The 11,171-nt window shown below is 40.1% G+C and overlaps 1 protein-coding gene across 16 annotated transcripts in view; it reads right to left on the bottom strand.

Moving 5' to 3' along the window:
- Window positions 234-11,171, bottom strand: part of RYR2 (ryanodine receptor 2) — a 791,805-nt gene continuing 780,867 nt past the window's right edge. For all 16 annotated transcript variants that reach the window (XM_006711802.4, XM_006711804.4, XM_006711806.4 and 13 more), the window contains 4 exons: window positions 5,777-5,841; window positions 3,592-3,692; window positions 2,657-2,708; window positions 234-1,670 (listed from right to left, as the gene is read on the bottom strand). In XM_006711802.4, coding sequence (XP_006711865.1) covers window positions 1,575-1,670; window positions 2,657-2,708; window positions 3,592-3,692; window positions 5,777-5,841 — 314 coding nt within the window. In that variant the 3' untranslated portion in view covers window positions 234-1,574. The remainder of the gene's footprint in view (window positions 1,671-2,656; window positions 2,709-3,591; window positions 3,693-5,776; window positions 5,842-11,171) is intronic.

Raw genomic sequence — 11,171 nt, 5'->3', positions numbered from 1 at the left:
AGAGGTCTGGCTGACCCATATAACAGGGAAATGACAGGGGTGGGCCAGGTGCCTGGTGACTCTGAGGCCCCACAATTATATACACAACAGTCTTAGAGGTACCAGGAAATCTGACAGCGTTAAAGGTCTCAGTGCAGTGTTTAGGATTGTCCTATATCCACCTCAAGTTAGAAGCTCAAGATTTTATGAGTCCCAGTTATAAGTTTTAAATGGAGAAAGAAGAGGATGAGAAAGTTAGTTAAATAGTTTAATCAGAGCGGTTTTACAGTTCTAAAATTAACAAGCAGACTTGTAATAAAAGAGCTCCAATGTTTGCAAAATGACCTTGTTTCCATTCTGAATCTGACTTTTTAATTGTAAAGGTTAGCATTACATTTAAAAGGACTCAAAATGGAAAAAATGGAGTGATGTATATTATCATCCGTGTTTTGTGATGCAACTGATGAAATCCCTGAATGGATATTGCTTCAGCTTTGATATTAAAAAATGGCCTGACAAGAAGTCCTTAATCAACAAAACTGATCACAGGTGGCTGAAAGAATGAGCAAAACCCAAAACTACTGTCAAGTTCATATTGTATCACATTGTTGGTGGATGACACTGGCTCCAGATATACAATTAAGCCCACGACACTTTATTACTATGAATAATTATCATGAAATTTCTCTCACGTTGATCAACTTGTTTCTGAAGGTTTTCTTTGTTCATTTAAACTTGCATAATAAACATGCAATGAATGGTTTCTTTTGAAAGTGTATTTTTTGCAGTCTTTTTGTTTTCATACAAAGATTTCATAAAGTTGCAATGTTGCATCAGAGCATTACCAAAATAATAGCAGGAGCATATGGGGGCGGGGGCGGGGGGGGGGGGCAAATGTGAATTTAGCTGAATGAGAAGAGCCTCCTTTTGTCCTGAGACACACCACCCGTTTTTTTTTTTTCTTTTTAAGTGCAAACTGCTTTTCTTACCCTCCCCCACTAAAGAAAAGACTAAAGGAAAAAAAAAAAACCTCACAAAATCAATCTAAGAAAAGAAAGGTCGACATAAAGAAAATAAAGATGTTTTTTCATGCACGTATCTTCTGCATAGCTCAACCCACATATAGTAAGGCACTATTTCCCTTCGCAACTGGTGTCCATGGCAATCTGTTAAGTGCTACAGTGCTCTGTGACCATTAGACAGACAGTTTCCTTCCAGGATGGTGAAATAAAGAGGCTGGGTGAGTGTGGCTGCCACGTGTCTCTGTGAAGGTCTCGTAGCTCGAGAAGACTCCGGGAGTCTCAGAAGAAAATCTATCTATGTGTGTTATGACAGTGTCCAGAATGGTTTTCTTTCCAGAATTCCTTTTTTTGTCTGAGTATGAATTTAGATTATTCTTCAGTCTTTAGTCTCAAAGTAAATACAAAAGGTGGGGGGAGGAAACAGCTCTTCCGAAACAGAGCTTCGATGCTCCCAGAAAACACACAACGCTGGCAATTCACAAAATCAGCAAAATGTTTCCAAGAGAGCAGAGAAATTGAGAGAGGGAGAGAGAGGGGTAGGGTTTTGGTTTTTAGAGGTGATTGGGTCTGAGTTTAATTTAGCTGGTCTTCATACTGTTTCCGGAAGCAATCCCCTGCTGGGAAAAATTCCCAACACCTTTCTTGATACATCTTCCAGACATAAGATTCCTGCAAAAGTCAAGGAAATGTATTAACATTTTCCCCAAAGTGTGTGCTAACAAAACATAAGGTAGAAACTCAATTCTGTTACCTATATCGCACGGAATAGAGAAGTCCACATTAATTTAGATGGTTCCTAACTAACTATACCAGACCTTAACGTCTCATAATAATCTTCATCCTGACCATTATAATGATAAAAATATGTTGGCTGGGCACACTGGCTCAAGCCTATAATCCCAGCATTTTGGGAGGCTGAGGTGGGAGGATCGCTTGAGTTCAGGCATTCAAGACCAGCCTGAGCAACATAAGAGATCTTGTCTGTACTAAAATTAAAAAAAAAAAAACACAAAAAAAAGCCAGGTGTGGTGGTGCATGCCTGTAGTTTCAGGTACTTGTGGGGCTGAAACAGGAGGATTTATTGAGCCCAGGAAGTCAAGGCTGTAGTAGGTCCTGATCATGCCACTTGAACTTGGCAAAACAGCAAGACCTTGTCTCAAAAAATATATGTGTGTGTGTATATATATACATTTATGCTTCTGAGGGTTCTCTTAAAATATCGTATCCTTCAAATTCAAACTACTAACAATCTGCACAGTGGAAGAGGAATTTCAAATAGCTTAAACACCTTAGGCATTTAACATGCATTGTACATAATACTTTGAAGTTCATTGGAAATCATCTATCTGATTAAACAAAGACATTATGCAATAATTAAGAACTCAATTTTTCAAAATAATGGAATTCAAAACTCAAATCCAGCATTTTCAGTTAGTAAAAGCTTATTGTGTTACATAAACTTAGTACAGAATTCTACTTTAACAAAGGCAATCTTTTCCATACTCATTCAACATAACAGGAACTTTACATCAAGATACCACAACTAATATCTGAAAGTAATTCCGTGCCTCACTGTTTAATGCACACATTTTGTTCTGATATTTAGAGCTTCTCTATCATTTCTTTCAGAAGATGACATGTAATAATTTACCTACCTGTCCTGTGTGTTCTGTTTCATCTTTGTTTATAAGATACATCAGAAAAAACCTACAGATACAGAGAAACTGATCAGAAATGAACGGTATGGAAATATTAGGATAAACAGGGCATATTTAGATAAATTGTATGGTTGCAATCAATTATGGCCAGCACAGAGAAAACGCCACATGCAAATTTTTGGAAAAATTAGTGTACCAGAAAGAGGAAAGGCTGTGGACCTGACTTTTCTGATCTGTTGCTATTTGACCCTAGAGGCTTCAAGTTAGGAATATACACACTGGTCAGAATCAAATCAACACTGATGAATTAGAACTGAAGACTAGCTTAATGAGAAGTTGTAATTTACTGATCAAGTTCCACTGAGTATAGTTAAGCCAATTTTTTTTCCCTATAATGCTACTCGGCATCTCTTCTGTTTGATACTAAAATTGGGTCGGAAAATGAGTAAGAATAGCATTTTACCAAACTATACTTTTGGCTAATCTCGAGTAATGGAAAGATTTCTATGTATTAATATTTTTTTAAATGCAGCTTTTAAGTTGGTATCCAACAGTGCCTGACGAGATCTGAAAGTCCTCTTAAGATCTGTAAGAAGAAAAACGGAGACTCGCATCTCCCTAGGAAGCAGCCTAAGAATTCCTATCTAAAATGAGAAACATGACCAAGACTCCCACAGAGGCCCTGCTCCTCCCTGTCCACCTCTTCATTTCAAGTTCTAGAAAGCATCACTTACATGAAGAGCTGCAACTTAACCTCTTAAGTCAACCTACTCCAGAGGAAAAGAGAGCCATTAGCTGTTGGACTTTCTTTTAAAGTATCTGCAGCAATTATTTTTTAAACAATAAACAAAAACTTCCTCTCTATTCTGAGATGGGCAGGGACCAGTGGCGTCTACTGGAGAGGTGGAAGATTCTGAAACGGGCACACTCACAAGTAATTAGCCAAGTTGTGCTCCTGTAAAGTGTGGGTTTCAAAGCCATGTGGCACTGTGTCGAAGTAATCATTGCCTATCCCACAGATGAAGCATTTGGTCTAGAAAACAAAGGGAAATATTAACGTCAGAGTTCAGAAAGCAAAACAAAAGGAAAACACAACTCGCCATGTAGGGGCAGCTATTATTTGGTTCACTCAATACACGTCAAAGATCATCACATGGAGGCTGTGCCAAGCCCACGAATATAAATGGAACTGTCGCTGTAACTATATCTTGGTGTTGGCTTAAATGACACAGGTACCAGCAGCAAGAAGTAGCAGACGCAGACAGGGAACAAGATGATGATGATGATGGCTGAAAAGCAACGTCTCTTCCTTTCTCTAGCCTAGGTGAAAATGTCCAGGCTTAGTGATCAACTCTTGTTCATGACATTGACTAAAGTTATCTAAGCAGGATTAACTGTGTCTTCAACTGAAACTACAAACTTAGTACCCACCCAAACAAAGTCGGACGACCAAGGGGGAATAGGTACAGATTACTTTCCTTTAGAAAAGGCCAAATCAAATACCAAGCTATGAGACATCCCATCTACAGTTTAGCAAGGGTCTTCCAGGTGCTGTGCTAGGTACAGAATTAGCCAGTGGATGTGAATGGAGAACAACTTTCGGCACTAGGGACCAGATTCCTGGTCCTCTTGGTTCCACCTTCTCTGGACCACGCCTCTCCTAAGCACCCTGTAGAGGGGCACCTGCTTAGGTCTGCCCCTTGCAGACAGGCCTGGTCCACAAAACCCAAGGAGAAGCAATGTATTCAATAATTGTCCCATGTGACTCTGGTGCTCATCCTTCCCTGCCAGTTGTAAGCTGTTTTATGCCATCTGAAGCATGTTTATGAGACCCTGTATTTTAGGAACTACAATCAAGATGATTATAATAGTGTATAAAATTCTTCCTGCCTTACTGATCAACAACTGCTGACAGCTGATAGGTCACATTGAGCAACTGGGGAGAACAATCGATCAGGTCTTCATACCACTCCAATGATGTCTCTTAAATTGAAGTGGCTCAAATCACACTCATCAGCTTTACCGATGAACCTGTTCTTCCTCTGGGTTCCCTAGGTCAGCTAACTATGCCACCATCCATCTGGTGGCTAATGCCTGAAGCCTGGATATCCCCTTGCTTGCTCCATCTTCTCCATTTGGTCAGTCACCAAGTCCCTCGCTGAGGATGCAGAAACTAGATGGATTCAGGCAGTACTTGCCCAACTCCCATGTGCCACCTCTAGCAAAAGCTTCAGAATCTCCCACCTGGAAAATGCTGACAGCCCACTTCCCTGTCCCTGTTCTTGCCAGTTTCTACTTCATGCCTCACATTTTAAACCATAGTTATCTTTTTAAAATGCAAATCTGATCATCTGGCTGCTCTGCTTAAAGCCCTTTTCTTGCTTCCCACAGCCCACATATTAAACTGTAAATTTCTCAAATGAGTGATTATATTCTTCATTCACTGGTATTCCTCTCCAGCCTCATCATCAGAATTTAATCTGCATCTGGTAGCACTGAGGCTGCTAAGAAAAAAACCTGCACATCAACTTCCCTAAAATCAGTCTTGGTATATAATTTCAGGTGGTGATGGGCTCAAAGGTCCCACTGTGAATGGTACCCCTGGAGATGTCCATGGTGTGGGAGAAGGGGTTGGGAGGTTGCCCAAACTGTCCTCCTCTCTCCTTATCAAACCCACAGACTTCCACAGTCTTCAGGCCTCAGCTCAGACATCCCTTCTTCTAGGAAATTCCCTGACCATCCAGGAGTGAATCAGATACCAGCCCTAGAGACCCTACCACTCCAGGGCTTTACTCCCATAAAGGACTCACCACACTGCTCTGTAATCATCTATTTACTTGTCATTGAATCTTTGGTTTCGAATGAATAGTCTCTCCACTTCTGGAGGGAAAGGATGGTGTCCTATCGCTGTTTGCATGCATGTGGCGTCCACCACAATTTCAGCCGACCACGCAGCTCAACTATATGTATTGCTTGAATGGAAAACACGCCAGTGAAACCACAAGTTGTGCCCTTCCCCCTCCTCCTTCCCACATTCATGATTCTATTGATAAAGGTAGTGAGGAAAACGAGGGCCCAGGACAACAAAGAAGCTGAGTCATGAATGGAGAAGCTTACCTCCATGTCTTCTTTGACTTGTTCCTGTTGGTCTCTTAGTTCTCCAAAAGCATCAATAATTAGACCTGGTGTTAAATAAAAACACAATTTAATCTTTATCAAGCAATGAATAATTCAGTTCCTTGGCTAATCCCCCCAGGGAAAGGGGAGATGTACAACTACCTTGCAAAATGCTCAGAACATGGTAAACGTGACTACATATCCGATACTCCTAGGAGAAAGGAGGCGGTGTTCTGTCTTTGGGGACAGAAGTATGTGCAGTTACTGGGACATACACTCACTGAAAAGAGTGTTTTAAAATGAAGTGACAGCAGGAAAAACCTTTTGTTAACTTGGCATATACAGATGTTATTACATACTTCATGCCGAAAAAGAGCAGCTGAGATTTATAAGTACAGAAAACTCCACTAATCAGATTTTTCAAGTACTAATGTAGAAATGAAACATCACCACTTAAACGAAGAAATCTGCCTCAAGTCTTTTTTTTTTTTTTTTTTTTTTTTTTTTTTGAGACGGAGTCTCATTCTGTCACCCAGGCTGGAGTGCAGTGGCACAATCTCGGCTCACTGCAAGCTCCGCCTCCCGGGTTCATGCCATTCTCCTGCTTCAGCCTCCCCAGCAGCTGGGACTACAGGCACACACTGCCACACCTGGCTAATTTTTGTATTTTTAGGAGAGACAGGGTTTCACCGTGTTAGCCAGGATGGTCTCGATCTCCTGGCCTTGTGATCCGCCTGCCTCGGCCTCCCAAAGTGCTGGGATTACAGGCGTGAGCCACCATGCCCAGTCAAGTCATTTTTTTTTTTTTTTTTTTTTTTGAGACAGTCTTGCTCTGTCACCCAGGCTGGAGTGCGGTGGTGCAATCACAGCTCACTGCAGCCTCAACCTCCTGGGCTCAAGCGATCCTCCTGCCTCAGCGTCCCAAGTAGCTGGGATTACAGGCGCACACCACCACACCCTGATAATTTCTGTTTGTACAGACAGGGTTTCGTCTTGTTGACCAGGCTGGTCTCAAACTCCTGGGCTCAAGCGATCCTCTCGCCTCAGCTTCCCAAAGTGGTAGGATTACAGGCATGAGCCATGGTGCCAGGCCCCAAATCACTTTTTTCACAAGTCCCTTATAAGTAAGCTTCCATAATTTCATTGACTGTGACAATCAGAAACACTGTGTTGAGCTGTTTTAAGCTCCTTTTCCCTCCTGAGACCTGCTGGCTTCACACTTTCTTCGAAGTTATAACTTTGCCCTCTTAGAAAACACGTTATTTTTACACTCAATAAGAGCACAATGAATGAATTATGAGTCCCTTAAGCTTGTCCATGGTATTTGACTAAAAAATAGTGTCATTTGATGTCTGTGGAACTTAAAAGAGATTGTCACATTTACAGACATTTAATTCAAGCCAGGATACATGTGTTAAGCGGAAAAGATAACATGACTTTTCTGAGAGAGAAAAACACCACACTCCAAGTTGCCCGGAAGTAAAAGGAAGAGCTAGTGGGTCAATACAGCACCGTGGTTGAAGGGGTCTGGATGCAGATTGCCTGGGTATAGATGGATTCCAGCCCTGTTTAGCTGTGCACTTTGGCCAAGTTCCTTAGACTTATTGTGGCTCAGTTACTTCATGCATAAAATAAGAGCACCATTCTCATAAGGTTGGTGAAATGGTAAAATTAGTTAATACATGTGCTGGGCAGATAGTAGGTATTCAACAATGATACTATTAATAGCTTTATAATTATTTATAAAGCACTGACTATGCATCAGGTATTAGACTGGGTACTTGAATGTATGTCCTTTTTTTATTATACTTTAAGTTCTGGGGTACACGTGCAGAACGTGCAGGTTTGTTACACAGGTATACACGTGCTATGGTGGTTTTTGCTGTACCCATCAACTTGTCATCTACATTAGGTATTTTTCCTAATGCTATCCCAACCCCTCAACAGGCTCTGGTGTGTGATGCCCCCCAATGTGTTACCATTGTTTAACTCCCACTTATGAGTGAGAACATGTGGCGTTTGGTTTTCTGTTCTTGTGTTAGTTTGCTGAGAATGATGGTTTCCAGCTTCATCCACGTCCCTGCAAAGGACATGAAATCATCCTTTTTTTATGGCTGCATAGTATTCCATGGTACATACGTGGCACTTTTTAAAATCTAGTCTATCATTGATGGGCATTTGGGTTGGTTCCAAGTCTTTGCTATTGTGAACAGTGCCCCAATAAACATACGTGTGCATGTGTCTTTATAGTAGAATGATTTATAATTCTTTGGATATATCCCCAGTAATAAGATTGCTGGGTCAAATGGTATTTCTAGTTCTAGATCCTTGAGGGATCACCACAGTGTCTTTTACAATGGTTGAACTAATTTACACTCCCACAAACACTGTAAAAGTGTTCCTATTTCTCCATATCCTCTCCAGCATCTGTTCTTTCCTGACTTTTTAATGATCGCCATTCTAATTGGCATGAGATGGTATCTCACTGTGGTTTTGATTTGCATTTCTTCAATGACCAGTGATGACCTATTTTTCATATGTTTGTTGGCTGCATAAATGTCGTCTTTTGAGAAGTGTCTGTTCATATCCTTCACCCACTTTTTGATGGGGTTGTTTGTTTTATTCTTATGAAGTTGTTTAAGTTCTTTGTAGATTCTGGATATTAGCTGTATATCAGATGGATAGACAGCAAAAAATTTTCTCCCATTCTGTAGGTTGCCTGTTCACTCTGATGATAGTTTCTTTTGCTAGGCAGAAGCTCTTTAGTTTAATTAGATCCCATTTGTCAGTTTTGGCTTTTGTTGCCATTGCTTTTGGTGTTTTAGTCATGAAGTCTTTGCCCATGCCTATGTCCTGAATGGTATTTGCCTAGGTTTTTTTCTGGAGTTTTCATGGTTTTAGGTCTTATGTTTAAGTCTTTAATCGATCTTGAGTCAATTTTTGTATAAGGTGTAATGAAGGGATCCAGTTTCAGCTTTCTGCATATGGCTAGCCAGTTTTCTCAACACAATTTATTAAATAGGGAATCTTTTCCCCAGTGCTTCTTTTTGTCAGGTTTGTCAAAGATCAGATAGTTGTAGATGTGTGGTGTTATTTCTGAGGCCTCTGTTTTGTTCCATTGGTCTATATATCTGTTTTCATACCAATACCATACTCTTTTTGTTACTGTAGCCTTGTAGTATAGTCTGAAGTCAGGTAGTGTGATGCCTCCAGCTTTGTTCTTTCTGCTTAGGATTGTCTGGGCTATGCGGGCTCTTTTTTGGTTCCACATGAAATTTAAAGTAGTTTTTTCCAATTCTGTGAAGAAAGTCAATGGTAGCTTGATGGGGATAGCATTGAATCTATAAATTACTTTGGGCAGTATGGCCATTTTCACAATATTGATTCTTCCTATCCATGAGCATGGAATGTTTTTCCATTTGTTTGTGTTCTCTCTTATTTCCTCAAGTGGTAGTTTGTAGTTCTCCTTGAAGAGGTCCTTCACATCCCTTGAAAGTTGTATTCCTAGGTATTCTCTTTATAGCAATTGTGAATGGGTGTTCACTCACAATTTGGCTGTTTGTCTATTATTGGTGTATAGGAATGCTTGTGATTTTTGCACATTGATTTTGTATCCTGAGACTTTGCTGAAGTTGCTTATCAGTATAAGGAAATTTGGGGCTGAGATGATGGGGTTTTCTAAATATACAATCATGTCATCTGCAGACAATTCGACTTCCTTTCTTCCTAATTGAATACCCTTTATTTCTTTGTTTTGCCTGATTGCCCTGGCCAGGACTTCCAACACCATGTTGAATAGGAGTGGTGAGAGAGGGCATTCTTGTCTTGTGCCAGTTTTCAAAGGGAATGCTTCCAGTTTTTGGCCATTCAGTATGATATTGGCTGTGGGTTTGTCATATATAGCTCTTATTATTTTCAGATACCTTCCATCAATACCTAGGTTTATTGAGAGTTTTTAGCATGAAGGGCTGTTGAATTTTGTCGAAGGCCTTTTCTGCATGTATTGAGATAATCATGTGGTTTTTGTCATTGGTTCTGTTTATGTGATGGATTACATTTATTGATTTGCGTATGTTGAACCAGCCTTGCATCCCAGGGATGAAGCCTACTTGATCATGGTGGATAAGCTTTTCGAGGTGCTGCTGGATTTGGTTTGCCAGTAATTTATTGAGGATTTTCGCATCGATGTTCATCAGGGATATTGGCCTGAAATTTTCTTTTTTTGTTGTGTCTCTGCCGGGTTTTGGTATCAGGATGATTCTGGCCTCATAATATGAGTTAGGGAGAATTCCCTCTTTTTCTATTGTTGGGAATAGTTTCAAAGGAATGGTACCAGCTCCTCTTTGTACCTCTGGTAGAATTCGGCTGTGAATCTGTCTGGTCCTGGACTTTTTTGGTTGGTAGGCTATTAATTACTGCCTCAATTTCAGAACTTATTATTGATCTATTCAGGGATTCAACTTCTTCCTGGTTTAGTCTTGGGAGGGTGTATGTGTCCAGGAGTTTATCCATTTCTTCTAGATTTTCTAGTTTATTTGTGTAAAGGTGTCTACAGTATTCTCTGATGGTAGTTTGTATATCTGTGGGATCGGTGGTGATATCCCCTTTATAATTTTTTATTGCATCTATTTGATTCTTCTCTTTTCTTCTTTATTAGTCTGGCTAGCAGTCTGTCTATTTTGTTGATCTTTTCAAAACACCAGCTCCTGGATTCACTGATTTTTTTGAAGGGTTTTTCGTTTCTCTATCTCATTCAGTTCTGCACTGATCTTAGTTATTTCTTGTCTTCTGCTAGCTTTTGAATTTGTTTGCTCTTGCTTCTTTAGTTTTTTAAATTGTGATGTTAGGGTGTCAATTTTAGATCTTTCCTGCTTTCTCTTTTGGGCATTTAGTGCTATAAGTTTCCCTCTACACACTACTTTAAATGTGTCCCAGAGATTCTGGTACGTTGTGTCTTTGTTCTCATCGGTTTCAAAGAACATCTTTATTTCTGCCTTAATTTTGTTACTTACCCAATAGTCATTCAGGAGCAGGTTGTTCAGTTTCCATGTAGTTGTGCAGTTTTAAGTGAGGTTCTTAATCCTGAGTTCTAATTTGATTGCACTGTGGTCTGAGAGACTCTGTTATGATTTCCATTCTTTTGCAGTTGCTGAGGAGCATTTTACTTCCAATTATGTGGTCAATTTTAGAATAAGTGTGAATTGGTGCTGAGAAGAATGTATATTCTGTTGATTTGGGGTGGAGAGTTCTGTAGATGTCTGTTAGGTCTGCTTGGTCCAGAGCTGAGTTCAAGTCCTGGATATCCTTGTTAATTTTCTCTCATTGATCTGTCTAATATTGACAGTGTGGTGTTAAAGTCTTCCACTATTATTTTGGGGAGTCTAAGTCTCTTTGT

Source organism: Homo sapiens, chromosome 1, assembly GCF_000001405.40.
Source record: "Homo sapiens chromosome 1, GRCh38.p14 Primary Assembly".
Classification (NCBI taxonomy): domain Eukaryota; kingdom Metazoa; phylum Chordata; class Mammalia; order Primates; family Hominidae; genus Homo; species Homo sapiens.
The sequence above is the reverse complement of the archived record's forward strand: the minus strand, read 5'-3'. Positions and strand labels throughout refer to the sequence as shown.